A 16,069-nucleotide genomic window follows, 5' to 3' on the forward strand; every position below is an offset into this window, starting at 1 on the left:
ACAGCATTGAAGGACGGCCACACGGAATGCCCCGAGGAGGGGATAGATCAGCAGAAGGACTAGAGCTCAGGAGAGTGGCTGGCTGGAAGGAACCCTTGGGAAGAAGAGGCGTGGAGCAACTTGGGGAGGCGGGTGCTTTGGGCATTAGCCTGATAGTTGTGGCTGGAGCAAGAAAGATGTTTCTGTGTATTCTGTTATGGGAACAGAGTCATTTATGGCGTGCACATTGAGGCACGACCCATGATGTTGAACGAGCTTGGTTTTCTCAACCACTTCACATGGGACGGACGTGGGATGGGGGGATAATGTTCATTTCTCTGCCTTCCCGCCACCCTCCAGCCCCTCCTCTGCCAATGAGTTGATGTTCCTTAGAGCCACTGGGGTCTCTCCCCCAGTGTTCTGGTCAAATGCAAATAGGACCCTCCTCTAGTACACAGTGCAATTACAATCTCACTTTTCCTTTCCTGTTTCCCCAACAGAGAGAACTCGATGCCACCGCAACGGTATTGGCGAACCGGCAGGATGAAAGTGAGCAGTCCAGAAAGCGGCTTATCGAACAGAGCCGGGAGTTCAAGAAGAACACTCCAGAGGTGAGGCGCGTGACCATCGTGTTCGCTTTGAAGGGATCTTAGAATGCTGGTGCATGTTCAGGCGACGCTCCGTGAGCGTTTCATTTTCATCAGATGAACGCACGGCCGGCAAACAACCCGTTTCTTTCCCCAGATGTCTTCAGCCCCATTTCCAGCAGAACGCATGCCATCCTGCAGGCTGTGGGGATGTGGAAATTGATAGGTTGTCTGGAAATATGAAAGTCAGAGCCAATTCCAGGTGCAGATACTGGACAAGCTTGGTCTGTAAGAACACGTGGGCAGGTGTGTGGGTGTCTCAGACCCTCGAGCTCATCCCAGACCCTGTCCCATGTCAGTTAGCAAGCCACCAAAGTCCATAAGGGATCCTGTGGGGTGGAAGGTCCGCGGGGCCTGCTTCCCTGTTGCTGGTGCAGGCGGAGTGTCTGAAGGCTGCACGCATCTGGGCATAGCAGTGCGCCTAACGCTTCTTGTAAAACAGACATTTCGCCTGCTAGGCCTTTTAAATGCCTCTCTGTTTCTTGAAATATGCCGTAAAGGGCAATGGAAATGTGCTTTTTATATACTCCTGTTTTTTCTCTCGTGAGTGTGCAATCGGGGGACAGTGTTGAGTTGCTGGGGTGGCGTTTTTCTGCTCGTTTCCTGGCCCCTTCTTCCTTCCCTTCAACCCTATCAGGGGCTTACTAAGAAAAAAAAAAAAACATCCAAGCGTGTTGCAGGCAGATGAGCAGTCGCGGGAATGGCTTTCCGGGTGACATCTGCCAGTTTGGTCCCCATGGCGCTCATCCCGCGGGCTCGGACCCCAGCCTCTCTTACATCTTCCCCTTGTATGGGAAGGGGTCGCAGCAGCCCACAGCTTCGGCCCGGCTTCCGGGCTTGGGGAATCTTCTCCGTATCGTAGCTCTTGGCTCCTCCATATAAGACATAGGAACATGCCTGGAGGCAAAGCTCCTTTCTAGGAGAGATGCCCCTCTCTTACTTACATAATATTGCTGGGAAATTATATGTGAATTGCATTTTTAAAAGCGGACTCATTTAAAATGTTTCAAAAGAGGCTTGCTAGTCAAGGGACTGCTGGCATGAATCATTATGGAAAACAAATTAATAACCTTCTGTCTTCAGAATAAATATTTTAGGAGAAAGCTTGGTAGCAGAGTAGAAAGAAGGCAGCCTTTGGCCACAGAGCCAGCTAAGGGTTCAAATCTCACACCCGCTGCTTGCCTCGGCTGCCCCTAAATGTGGGTACTCCATGTTTCACGAGACCAAAAATGCAGGTGGGAGTCACTGGTGCTTGGGGGTTTCTGCCTTCTCTGCCAGTGTTGGGGAGTGGGGGGCCCTATTCTCCATGTCAGCCTTGCCATGAGTAAAAACAGGAGGAAAAAAAGAGCTGGGGACAGAACGTCCTTCTTCTGTTGCCTCCAGCGGCTTCAGAGCAGACTTTCCTGGAACTCCGGTTTCCTGAGCGCTTGTCCTTGACTCAGTTTCCCCAGCCCAAGCCCCGCCACATCCATCGTGCTAGCTCCTCTTAGTGCCGTTCCTGTAGCTAGTGGTCACCCACCGTTCTGTATTGTCACTGCCCTTTCCTCGGTGACCATATGTCTGAGGGTTTCCATAGAAAATCTTAGAGGTTTGGCTGGGCGCAGTGGCTCACGCCTATAATTTCAACACTTTGGAAGGCTGAGGCAAGCAATCACTTGAGGTCAGGAGTTCAAGACCAGCCTGGGCAACATAACAAGACTCATCTCTGTTATAAAAGGTAAAAAGAAAAAAGAAAACGTTTTGTGGTTAAAAACAAACAAAGAAACAAAAAAACCCAGAAAATCTTAGAGGGGCAAGGCCATCCTTCAGAGGCCACGGACAATAAATACACGAGTGTATTCAGCCAGAGAATGAGGTTCCTAAGAGGCCTGGCTTCCTGGGTGTTCCTCAGAAGTCCCCAACTCCTAGTGACAGTGGAGGAGGAGCGTGTCCCCCTTCGGTCACCCTGTCCGTTCCTTATGCTCTGCTGATAAATGCCGCTTGTACTGCACTGAGCCCTATCCCTCCATCGTGCCTTGTGTCGAATTCCACATTAGTTACTCAAAGACACCTGGCCTTAAACTTGGCGTTTTTATCTCCTTCTGATCCCAATAAATGGAAGAGGCTTGGGGAGGCGGCAGCCTGGTAGGTACCTGCCACTTGGGGCATTTCTTCTCAGGACACATTTTTAGACTCTGTCTTCATGGAGAAAGGGGCTAGAACCCACCAGGAAGGGGAGGCAGATGATGGAAGGTCACCACCTGCTTGGCCCTGACCCCGCCACTGCCAGTGGGTGGAGGGTGGTGCCCACTTCCTCATCTTTGGCTGTAGTAACGAGGGTCTCACTGCAGCATGCGGTCCTGGGGAGGTGGGGAGAGGGGAGCTGGCTGCAGGCTCCTGCCCCGCCAGCCCTATGCACTTTCTCATCCAAGGACCAACCTGGAAATCTGTGGGGCGCCCACGCGGAAAGTCCAAGACGAGACCCACTTCACTTGTGCCAGCAGCCAGAGCTTCCTGCTGGTAACTTTTTTTTTATTTTTTGAGACAGAGTCTTGCCCTCAGGTTGGAGGACCACCCAATCGCTCAGGTTGGAGTGCAGTGTCACAATCTCGGCTCACTGCAACCTCCGCCTCCTGGGTTCAAGTGATTCTCCTGCTTCAGCCTCCCAAGTAGCTGGGATTACAGGCACATGCCACCACCACACCCAGCTAATTTTTGTATTTTTAGTAGATTTCACTATGTTGGCCAGGCTGGTCTCGAACTCCTGACCTCAGGTGATCCGCCCACCTCGGCCTCCCAAAGTGCTGGGATTACAGGCATGAGCCACCGCGCCCAGCCCTCCTGCTGGAAATGTTGAAACCACATAAGACCAGAACAGTGGTGGGAGTCGGGGGCTGTGGCCGGAGTGTGCTGGGTGTGCAGGAGGCGGAGTTCCCTGCTGTTCCCTGTGACAGCAGGTGTGTGTGTGTGGGGGGGGAGCTGTGACAGTACGTGTGTGTGTAGATAGCACATGTGTGGAGCCTCAGCTCAGTGCCTGGCCTGTGTCCCAAGGGGACACTGGGTCACCGTTTGTTTGGGGTCTCAGTCTTGAGGAGCCACCACTGCCCTGACACTGGTTGCTCCTCTGGCCACACCGCAGGATTGATTACTAACCGTGGAGGTGACGTCGGGTTGTTGCATGTGTAGAAACGAGGCTTGCTTAGAGCTTTCGCCCGTTGGGTAGGACAGCCTGGCTTACCGGGAGGAGGGTATCCTCTTCCCTATGGATGCAGCCCACGATCCCCATGGCAACATACCTTCCAGGGCACAGCGTGGCAGAGCCAGGGCTGGTGGTGTTCCTGCTGGTGTGACACCAAGGGTGTTGATCTTGATGGAAACGCCCACGTCTCTCTTTGTTCTGGGAAAGAAGGAAAGGTTTCCTGGTGTCTGATGAATGTCTAATGTGTTCCACAGGGAGGATTAGGCACCCGCGAGGGTTCAGTGGGGAGTAAAGTTTGTCTGCCATCGGAGATTTCACCTTCTAGACTGGCCCTTCCCAGATGTCACTGGGAAAAGCTCTAGTCCAGGAGGGAAAAGGTGGGCTGTGACGGGGAGGTGGCCAGGGAGGGGTGCTGTGTGGTGGCTGGGACTCTGACAGGCGGGAGAAGCCACAGGAACATCAGGAGGTGAGCGCCAGGATGGCTGGAGCCTTGAAGGGTTTTTCTGGGGACAGGATCCTGCTCTGTCACCCAGGCTGGAGCGCAGCGGCACGATCACAGCTCACTACAGCCTCCAACTCCTGGGCTCAAGTGATCCCTCCGTCTCAGTGTCCCGAGTAGCTGGGATTACAGGAACGTGGCACCACAGTGCCTGGCTAGTATATTTTATTTTATTTTATTTTTATGTGTTTTTTTTTTTTTCTTCAAGTGTCTTGCTCTGTTGCCCAGGCTGGAGTGCAGTAGCACGATCTTGGCTCACTGCAACTTCCACCTTCTGTGTTCAAGCAGTTCTTCTGCCTCAGCCTCCCGAGTAGCTGGGATTACAGGCATGCGCCACCACACCCAGCTAATTTTTTTGTATTTTTAGTAGAGGTGAGGTTTCACCATGTTGCCCAGGCTGGTCTTGAACTCCTGACCTTGTGATCCACCCGCCTCAGCCTCCCAAAATGCTGGGATTACAGGTGTAAGCCACCGCGCCTGGCCGTAGTTTTTAAATTTTCTGTAGAAACAGAGCCTTTTGCTGTTGCCCAGGCTAGTCTCAAACTCCTGCGCTCAAGCAGGGTCCTCCCACTTTGGCCTCCCAAAGTGCTAGGATTACAGGCACGAGCCACTGCGCCCAGTTGAAGGTTTTCTGTTTAGAATTAGTTTTTTAAAGTTTCAGTTTTATATCATTAGATTAATATATTTGCCATCATATGATATTGTGTCTTTTTAATCCAGAAATTGTAGTTAATTTGCAGAAGATTGCAGTTACTCTGCAGATAAAATTGTATACGTTTTCTTTGAATCTACAAAAAGAGTCCCTTTGAAAGAAAAACATTTTTAAATGTTCTAACTGAACATCCATTCCCTATTGAATTAAGAATCAATCGTGGAACATAATAGGCGGTGGAGTGTTTCTAGGGTATATTGCTTTCTATATTTTTGTTTTTTTTGGAATATAGTGGCACAATCATAGCTTACTGTGGCCTCGATGTCCTGAGCTCAGGCGATCCTCTCCTTATAGCCTCCAGAGTAGCTGGGACTATAGGTGCGTGCCACCACACCCTGCTAATTTTATGTTTTGAAGAGACCGGGTCTCACTTTGTTGCCCAGGCTGGTGTCAGACTCCTGGGCTCAAGCTAAATCACCCACCTTGGCTTCCCAAAGTGTCGGGATTACAGGTGTGAGCCACTGCGCCCAGCTCTGATTTTTGTATTTCTTACTTAAGGCGACATACTTAGTAGCTGTGCGTCTTGGGGCAGATACCTCCCAAAGCCCCAGTTCTGTCATCTATAAATAATGTAACAACAGGGCCCCGCTCGCAGGGTTGCTGTGTGCACATATGTGTGTGTACGTACCCATGTGCCTGTACGAGAAGGGCTGCGCACAGGCCTGTCCCTAGAGTTTAGCTTATGTTCGTTATTAGCATTAACCTGGGAATACTCACCGTGTAACTCATGAGATACAGTGGATTTCTGTTCCTCAGAGCTAGCTTGGGGAATTTCTATGTTTTATTTTATTTTATTTATTTATTTATTTATTTATTTACTTATTTATGAGGCGGAGTTTCACTCTTGATACCCAGGCTGGACTGCAGTGGCGCCATCTCTGCTCACTGCAACCTCCACCTCCCAGGTTCAAGTGATTGTCTTGCCTTAGCCTTCTGAGTAGCTGGAATTACACGTACCCGTCACCATGCCCGGCTAATTTTTTGTATTTTTAGTAGAGACGGAGTTCCACCATGTTGGCCAGGCTGGTCTTGAACTCCTGACTTCAGGTGATCCACCCGCCTCGGCCTCCCGAAGTGCCAAGTGGCATGAGTCACCACACCCGGCCTTAGCTCGGGCAACTTTAAAAAAAAAATAACAACAAATATAGGTAGTTTCAGCTTAAAGTGTTTCAAAAGTTGGTTTGTGGCCAGACACAGTGGCTTACGCCTGTAATCCCAGTGCTTTGGGAGGCTGAGGTGGGAGGATCGCTTCAGACCAGGAGTTTGAGACCATCCTGGGCAACATAGTGAGATTCCATCTCTACAAAAAAATCAAAAGATTAGCCAGGATGGTGGTGTACACTTGTAGTCCCAGCTACTTGGGAGGCCGAGGTGGGAGGATGGCTTGAGCCCAGGAGGTTGAGGCTGCAGTGAGCCATGATCATACCACTGCACTCCAGCCTGGGCAACAAAGTGAGATCCTGTCTCAAAAAAAAAAAATTGGTTTGTAATAACAATTAATCATCTTACAAATATTTATTGAACACCTTCCATGTGCCAGACAGTTTGGCCCTGGGAATAAAACCCTATCTCCATTCTTTAAAAAGTTTCTTATCTTTCTTAGTAAGCAAATAGAACCCAATGGCAGAGCGTGTTAAGTGCTAGGATAGAATGACTGGAATCTTCTGACTGTAGACTTTCCCCACAGAAACACTCTTATGTCAGTGGTGATAAAGTTCTCTGGATAAGCCACATATGGCTCAGTAACCCTTTTTATAGATAAACAGTTCTGCTTTTTGAGCCTTGGTTCTTAACCTTTAAAATATCCATGAAAGTTGAGGACCTACGCACCTGGGAAATGCACGTTTGCAGTTTCTGGGGGGCTCCCAGACACTCATCCATGCAGCCTTAGTTTAGAACACCAGTTCTCTGGGCCCATAGTCCCAGTTTCAGCTCACCATTCCAGGAGAACCAGTGGGTCACCTCTACTCTCCTTCTCCTCCTTGTGTCCTGGGGTGGAAGGGGATGAAGGAGGGAGGAGGGGGGATTCTAGAGCTTTGGGGTGGGTGACAGATGAGTACCAAGGCCTGACCGCTGGGCAGGGACAGGGTGTGCCTGGCCTTGGGCTGGGTGCTGGGGAGTGGGAGATGGGTGAAGGAGCAAGGCCACCTGATGTGACAAGGGGCTCCACGGGCTGGCAGCAGGGGCAGCACCTCTGCACTGGGCTGGCCACAGCATGTCAGGAGGGAGCAGCAGCAGCTATCTGGAAGCCTGGTGGTGTTAGAATCATGTATGTGAGCAGTGGAGGCTGAAAGCCTAGCTCTCGCAAACCCCAGAAAGTGTCTCTTAGCTTTTCCGTTTGCCGTTTGCTTTTCCATGGCTTTGATCGCGGTCAAACTCCGATTTCCCGCGTGTGTGATTCCAGAGTTCTTCTGGAGGCGAGGTTACGGGAGGTCTGCAGCATGTCTGACCTGCAGCCCCGGCTCACTGGCCTGGCTGTAGGGAGTTAGTGGATGGAGAGTGGCTGGACAGTTTGGAGACCAGGTAACCCAGCGTGGGGTCCTCCCTGGAGAAACCCCCAGTGCTCCTGCGACATCGGCCTGGCTTCAGGGCTCTGCTATTTGAATGTGATGCTCAACTCTCCAATAAATGGTCGTCTGTGTTAGGCTTGCTTCCAGAAAGAGCTCAGGGATGGTTTTGGGTTTTGTTCTGCTTCTTTTCAATATGGGAGGAACCTTCTCTGATGGGAGAAAAGAGAGGAGGAGAACCACATTCCTGAGATGCTGTGATTTTATCATGAAACCATCCCCAGCCCTCATCCTGGTGACGTCAGTCGGCCCAGTCCTACTCCAGAACGCTTCTTGGGTGTCTGTCTGCAGGACTTTGCTCAGTTAATTTTTGTCTCCTCTAAAACAGACCCCGTTGCTCTGGGAGGAGAGCCGAGCTGCGGCTCAGGGGCCGTCACTGGTCATTTTTGCCCTGATGTATTTTTGCCTCTACATTTCTTGATCTCTGGAACGTTAATCCCAACGATGCCTGGTCTGCGGTGCTCACAGTCTGTGTCTGTGCTTTCTACACCTGTCCTGCTCAGATGCACATGATGTCACACCCAGGTCTCCATCCTGGCTCTTGTTGGCTGCGGCGGCAGCCCTGACTGTCGGAGACGCCTGGCTCAGCATGCCCACCTTGCAACAGGGAGCACCCTGTGCTGCTCACAGAACTGCCCATCCACTTTCTTTTCCTTTCCTGGGTGCCAACATCTTCCTCTGCCCCTTCTACGCCGGCCTGGCGCATTTCTCTGATTTCTGTGTTCCCGGGTAGCAGTTGTAAAAATTCAGGCTTGGGAGTTGTCTTGAGATAGGACTTGGAAAGGAATCTTTTACCATCGTTGAAATTGGCTAGATTTGTGGATTCCTTCCCGACCCTGGCAGGCACGGTGAGGGGAGGAGGTCCCTCCTTTTTATTGATCAGGATGCACTGTGTGCGGGGTAAGCCAGGAAGCCACGCACCTGATGCTATCTCTGCCATGGGGAGGAGGACAGAGGATGGGAAGATGCTGTGAACTTTTATGATTCGTTTTTCACTCTCGGTGAGAAAAGGAGCTAGCAGGATGGGTGAGGGAGTGGAGGGTAGTAATATATAGTTGTGGCCTGGGCCCAAACGCATTTAGTCACTGCCTCGACAGCCTTTATATAGACACCACCAGAGTGACTCAGCCTGGAAAAAGAGAGTCACTTAAAAATAAAGTTGCGACTCCAGTGGACACGTGGTGCACAGGCTGCCCTGAGATAGTCACCAGGGCTCCATGGCCCTGCACACCCCCCAGGACCCTGGGCGAGTCAGGTGGTGAAGTGAGGGTGATCGTTGTAACCCCATCTTGGCATTGACGTGAGGATTTAGCAAAGTCACATATCATCCCAATTACTTTTTTCCTTTTTTTTTTTTTTCTTTTTGGAGACAGGGTCTTGCTCTGTGGCCCAGGCTGGAGAGCAGTGGCATGATCTCAGCTCACTGCAGCCTCAACCTCCCAGCCTCAAATGATCCTCCCACCTCAGCCTCCCGAGTAGCTGGGACTACAGGCGTGCACCACCACACCTGGTTATTTTTTTTTATTTTTTATTTTTTGTAGAGATGGGGGTCTCACTTTGTTGCCCGGGCTGATCTCGAACTCCTGGGCTCAAGCGATCCTCCCACCTCAGCCTCCCAAAATGTTGGGATTACCGGCGTGAGCCACCACACCTGGCCTTTGATGCTTTCTAAACATGAAACAGCATCCAGGCATCATCGGCTACTCCTTGATATGTCAGTGTTACCCACTGGACTCTCAACTCTTCTCTGTTATCAACAAATCTTGTTTTACTCCTCATTAGACCCTAAAACCACTGCACACAGAAAAGTGAAAAGCCCAGCCTCATTTTCCTTTCATCACGTTGAGCCCATTGAGTTGGCTTCATTGAAGGCCCACAGCCCTGATGTGACACAATGGGGCCTTTTTTTGAGCTAGAATTCCACTCCGTCACCCGGGTTGGAGTACAGTGGCTCGATCTCGGCTCACTGAAACCTCTGCCTCCCAGGCTCCAGCAATTCTCCTGCCTCAGCCTCCCAAATAGCTGGGACTACAGGCATGTGCCACTGTGCCCAGATAATTTTTTTGTATTTTTCATAGAGATGGGGTTTCACCATGTTGGCCAGGTTGGTCTCAAACTCCTGGCCTCAAATGATCCACCTGCCTCGGCCTCCTAAAGTGTTGGGATTACAGGCATGAGGCACAGTGCCTGGCCAAAAGTAGATTTCTATAGAGATAGAAACCCCCAGGGGTGAGGGGATAGAGGAATGAGGAATGACTGATAGTTGGTATGAGGTTTCTTTTTGGAATATAAAAATGTCCTAGAATAAGACAGTGGTGATACTTGCACAACTTTGAATATGCCAAATGCCACTGAACTGTGTACTTTAAATGGGTGAGTTGTATGGTATATAAATTATACATCAATAAAGCTGTTATTTAAAAAAAAAATTCAGCCAGGTGCAGTAGCTCACGCTTATAATCCCAGCACTTTGGGAGGCTGAGGCAGATGGATTGCTTTTGCTCAGGAGTTGGAGACCAGCCTGGGCAATATAGTGAGACCTCACCCCTACAGAAAAATAGAAATATTAGCTGGGAGTGGTGGTGCGTACCTATGGTCCCAGCTACTCAGAAGGCTGAGGTAGGAGGGTCGCTTGAGTCTAGCAGGAGATTGAGGCTTCAGTGAGCCATGATTGCACCACTGCACTCCAATGTGGGTGACAGAGTTATAACCCCCGTCTCAAAACAAACAAACAAACAAACAAACAAAAAACCTAAACTAAATTAAAAAAGAATTCCTCTCTTCATGGGGGTGTCAGAAACCCCCGAAGAGATTTCTTATTCAGTTGTTCTCTCATCCTCTAAAGAAACTCCCCACAGAAAAGTATCTTGTGAATTTTCATTTTTGCAGGGGGCAGTTTGGTTTTAAAAAGTCTACTCCAGGATTTGGCAAAATGAGAAAACCCCAGTAATCAACTTGTGTGTTTAATCATTCTAGAATCACCTACTGTTAAGTTATAATAAGCCTTTAACTAGAAAAAGTTTAAAAATTAAAAGTGAACTTTTAACTGTTACCAATTAAACCCTTTAAGCCAGTTTATCAACCCAAGACATTATTTTCTTTCTTTTGGGTCTCTAGGGGAGAAGAGGTGCCTTGAGTGGGACCAGTAATGAAGGCAATTTGAACCTAATTCGGGCCCCAGTCAGGGAAGGTGGCTGCATTATCCCCCTACATCCCAGCAAGACTTTGCCGCATGGTCTGGAGGGCACCAGCAGGGGCCTGTAGGGAAGAGGAGGTTGCCTGGGCCCAGGGACATTGAATGCTAGTCAAGCCCTGGTTTCATTTGCTCCAACAGCATTAATAGTATTGTGACCTCCATGGCACTGTGACAGAAACTTAACCCCAGTTTCTTCGTCTGCAAAAAACATACCCTGCCTACTTCAAGGGGTCCTGGAGGCTGAATGTCCAGTCTCAGGCCAGGAGTAGAACGCATAACTAGTAAGTGGTGACGTGCAGTGACCTTGAGCAAGGTCAAAAACTGTTCTAAGACTTGGTCCCCTTATGTATAAGCAGGAAGAATTGGTGCTATCCCATTTCACCCAGGAGGTGAAATGAATTCAGATGCACAGAGCATATAGTAGGTGCTCAACAAACACCCTCCTCTCTTCTTTCCTTCCTTGCTTTCTTTTACAAGTAGTCCTGAGCCCTTTTCTAGGGCCAGGGGCAGTCAGATACAGCAGGGATGGAGGGAGAAGATTCCAGATCTCACAGAGATCTGGCAGTGGCCAAGTAAACAAATGATGCACAAGATAATTTCAGGTGGCGGTAAGAGCTCAGACAGAACAAGATGGCAGTGAGTGATCAAGGATGGGCGAAGGTACTTTGGGGAGTCAGAGAACGTGTTTTGATCTTAAGAATGCAAAATGACTTTTTGTATCACCTGTCAACACAACACACACACACACACACACACACACACACGGAGGCTTTAGTGCAAATTTTGAAATAACCATTGATTAATTTTGGCAAGCTGTTAGCAGTGGAGTCCCCCACATTTCTTCCATGTAAAGCCCTGATCATCTTGGCTGTAACCACTCACTTACTTTGAAGCGTCAGATTCAGTCTCTCTGCTTTCTAAGACCAGGGATGCTATTTAATCTGGGCATTAGAAAATTCAGTTGGCCAAGTGCGGTAGCTCATTTCTGTAATCCCAGCACTTTGGAGGCTGAGGTGGGAGGACTGCTTGAGACCAGGAGTTTGAGACCAGCTGGGGCAACATAGCGAGACCCCATCTCTACAAAAAAATGAAGAAATTAGCCGGGCGTGGTGGTGCATACCTGTAATTCAGGAGGCTGAGGTAGGAGGATCCCTTGAGCCCAGGAGTTCAAGACTGCAGTGAGCTATGATTGCGTCACTGCACCCCAGCCTGGGCGGCAGAGCAAGACCCTATCTTCAAAAAAAACAAAAACACACACACAAAATTAGTCAATGAATTGTGGAGTTTCAAAGAGACCTTATTTTGTTTGTTTGTTTTCTGGGCCAAAGGCCCAGAAATTCTTAGGTAATTCTTCGGTAATTAATTCTTAGGCAATTCTTAGGTAATTAACGAGGAGCTAATCTCCCAGTTGCTCTGTTCCTTGTCACTGGAAGTGGTCAGAGCTGTTGCGGGGCTTGGCCCAGGGGCGGCGGGTGGCATCTGAAGACCCCGCAGGCCCTGCTTTCCTTCCGGGAGCATCTCAGGACGGCCGCTTTGTCTGTCTGCCCCCGCCCCTTGCTGAAACGTCAACAAGGCCGGCATCCCCTTTCCTTCCTGAGAGCCATGTGTCGCTTCCTTCATGTGTCCAGCCGTTTTTACAGGGCTATTTTAAGTATAAAAGACGCATTATCTGAGAGTTTAATAACTGTCAAAAGGGAAGCACTGTCATTAGATTCATGTGCCCTGGAATTTTAGTCAAAAACATGCTGCGTTCTATCACGTCTAAGCCTCTATTTTCTTATCTCAAAAAATAGGAATGATAACGACCTCGGAGTCATTATGGGCTGGATGAACTCTTATAGGGATTCAGAACAACCCAGGCACCAAGTAGAAGGTCAATAAATGGCTTATTGTGTTCATGTTACCAAAATCTACTCTTTTGAGAAATTGTGTTCACAAATGGCCTTTTTTTTTTCTTTTTTCTTTTTTTTTTTTTGAGATGGAGTCTCCCTCTGTCACCCAGGCTGGAGTGCAGTGGCGCGATCTTGGCTCACTGCAACCTCTGCCTCCCAGGTTCAAGTGATTCTCCTGCCTCAACCTCCCAAGTAGCTGGGACTACAGGCACCTGCCACCACGCCTGGCTAATTTTTGTATTTTTAGATGGGGTTTCACTATGTTGGCCAGGTTGGTCTCAAATTCCTGACCTTGTGATCTGCCCGCCTCGGCCTCCCAAAGTGCTGGGATTCTAGGTGTGAGCCACCACACCCGGCCTCACAAATGGACTTTTTTTTTTTTTGAGACGGAGTCTCGCTCTGTCACCCAGGCTGGAGTGCAGGGGCGCGATCTCGGCTCACTGCAAGCTCCGCCTCCCGGGTTCATGCCATTCTCCTGCCTCAGCCTCCCAAGTAGCTGGGACTACAGGCGCCCGCCACTACGCCCGGCTAATTTTTTGTATTTTTAGTAGAGACGGGGTTTCACCGTTTTAGCCGGGATGGTCTCGATCTCCTGACCTCGTGATCCACCCGCCTCGGCCTCCCAAAGTGCTGAGATTACAGGCGTGAGCCACTGCACCCGGCCACAAATGGACTTTAAAGTTATAAATGTGACGGAGGGCAGTGGCTCACACCTAGAATCCCAGCACTTTGGGAGGCTGAGGCTGGCGGATCACTTGAGCTCAGGAGTTTGAGGCAGGAGAATCGCTTGAACCCAGGAGATGGGGGTTGCAGTAAGCCAAGATCGTGCCACTGCACTCCAGCCTAGGCTACAGAGTGAGACTCCGTCTCAAAATAAATAAAAATAAAATAAAGCTATAAACGAACACTTAAAAAAATTATTAAAGCCTAGGGTAGACCCTAGTTTCTACTGCGGACTTGAACAGATACAGTAAAATTAAAACTTGCCTTCTTCCATATGTGTCTAGAGAGTAATTTTCTCTCCTTTTGCATTAGTTTCACTGTTCATAGAGTGGAAATGTTTGCTGCTGGACTTTCTTTTTTGAAGCTATTCTTTGAGAGTAGCCCATAACTTGTCTTTCTGGTCAATAACCTCAACTGAAATGCATTCTGAATGGAGAACGTCATTCTGTGTAGGATTTAATAATAACTTCAGCACAGAAAAGCACTCTCTGCCTCTTCTCAGCAAACAACTTTGTTGAGCATGATTTTAAAGGTGTAACGGCTAAATGTGAAAGCCATATGATTTGGTTGAAATCGTGGTGAGCTGTTATTAATATTTATTGAGTACTTGCTAGGAGTCAGGCATTATGCTAAGTGCATGACCATCATTTCTCTGCCCCTGGAAGTCACCCTGGGAGCTAAGTATCATCGGTGCCACTTAATGAAGCGTAAGCCACCCACCCACCTACCAGGATTTTCCCGGGCAGACAGACTCCTGGGAATGAGGCCATATAATCCCCTGAACACCCTGCCTCCTTAGGGTTCCAGAAGCCAATTTTTTTTCTTTTTTTGAGACAGATTTTTGTTCTTGTCACCCAGGCTGGAGTACAGTGGCCTGATCTCGGCTCACTGCAACTTCTACCTCCCGGGTTCAAGCGATTCTCCTACCTCAGCCTCCCAAGTAGCTGGGATTACAGGCACCAACCACCATGCCCGGCTAATTTTTGTGTTTTTAGTACAGATGGGGTTTCACCATGTTGGCTAGGCTGGTCTTGATCTCTTCACCTCAGGTGACTCACCTGCCTTGGCCTCCCAAAGTGCTGGGATTACAGGCATGCGTCACCACGCCTGGCCCAGAAGCCAAATTTTTAGTCACTTAACCATTAGCAATTCCTCTTCTATTAGATTTTTTTTAAAATTGCTTTTGAGTATTTCTTTGAAGTGGCATACTCATTTAAAGGATTCTATATGTCAGGGGGAATGTTTTCTAGGAGGGTACTTAGGAAGGAACATATCGTTATAGCCTAAAATTTGCCATTGGCCTGTGAAAGCCTTCTTAACTTACGGAATTGATTATAAGCCAAAGCGTGGGAAAATCTCCCCTTCCACTTTGAGATTATGTCAGTCAAGAAAATGACAATTGGATACCAAGCCATGCTAACTCTGATACTTGCTGTCTTCGTTTTCTTCTTTCTTTGGCTAGGGGGATGGAGCGCGTGTGGTGTGGGTGGGACTAGTCACTGAGCATGTTATTGACTAACATTGGCTTTTCATTTTAACTTGCAAATGTGAGTGGCATAAAAGTGAGTTTACGAGGAGCATGACTGGCCTGTTATGCAGAGTCTTGTAATTTTGTTTGTGGCCCTTTATTTTAAGAAGATGTTGTGTTATATAGTTGGTGTCCTTAAAGGAGTATATAATTGGATCTGGAAGCTTAGATTGTGATTCTGACTTGGCCACTTAATGAATGCAAGATCTGAGCAAGCCATGACCTCTCTGTTGTTCAGTCTAAGAAAGGAGGTGTTGGTGCTGAGCATGGTGGCTCATGCCTGTAATCCCAGCACTTTGGGAGGCTGAGGCGGACGGGTCACTTGAGGCTGGGAGTTCGAGACCAGCCTGGCCAACATGGCGAAACCCCGTCTCTACTAAAAATACAAAAATTAGCCGGGTGTGGTGGAGTGCACCTGTAATCTCAGCTATTCAGGAGGCTGAGACGGAGAATCACTTGAACCTGGGAGGCGGAGATTGCAGTGAGCCGAGATCACGCCACTGCACTCCAGCCTGGATTTCAGAGCGAGACTCCGAGGTTCTGTGTGGCTGAGAGCCACACATTTTGCAACAAGAGACTCGTCCCTTTTCCATAGGTGTCCTTATTCCTATTGATCTTACCTGTGGGCCCAAGACTTAGGCACATCCCTTTCTTCTTAAAAGGCATCACCTCCTCTGCCTCTTGGAGTTTTCCTACCCAGAATTCATTCATGTGTGCAGCAAATATTCCTGGCAGTCCCATTGTGTGTGGAATGGGGTAAACCAGGAAGACTGTTGTGAGGGCTCAGTAACTTCAGGGACACAGCCGTCGTAGCTTATAATGGCAGCTGATATTTAGTGAGCACTTACTGCATATCCAGTACTATTCTAAACACTGGAAAGGCATTTAACTAACTTAACACTCACAGGATCCCTACGAAACAGGTACAGTGTTTATTTCTGTTTCAAAGAGAGGGAAACTGAGGCCCAGAGAGGAGGAGTAACTTGCCTAGGCCCACAGGTGGCAAAGCTGCCTGAAGGTTTTTTTTGAGACAGAGTCTCACTCTGTCGCCCAGGCTGGAGTGCAATGGCACAATCTCAGCTCACTGCAACCTCTGCCTTCCGGGCTCAAGCGATCCTCACTTCAGCCTCCCAAGTAGCTGGGGCTAC

The 16,069-nt window shown here is 49.0% G+C and overlaps 1 protein-coding gene across 25 annotated transcripts in view; it reads left to right on the forward strand.

Moving 5' to 3' along the window:
- Positions 1-16,069, forward strand: part of CUX1 (cut like homeobox 1) — a 467,952-nt gene that overhangs the window by 99,629 nt on the left and 352,254 nt on the right. For 24 of the 25 annotated variants that reach the window (NM_001913.5, NM_181500.4, NM_001202545.3 and 21 more), the window contains exon 2: positions 480-590. The exons of the other annotated variant lie outside the window; for it this stretch is intronic. In NM_001913.5, the coding sequence (NP_001904.2) occupies positions 480-590 (111 nt within the window). The remainder of the gene's footprint in view (positions 1-479; positions 591-16,069) is intronic. 25 annotated transcript variants of the gene reach the window in all.

Source organism: Homo sapiens, chromosome 7, assembly GCF_000001405.40.
Source record: "Homo sapiens chromosome 7, GRCh38.p14 Primary Assembly".
In the NCBI taxonomy this organism is placed as follows: domain Eukaryota; kingdom Metazoa; phylum Chordata; class Mammalia; order Primates; family Hominidae; genus Homo; species Homo sapiens.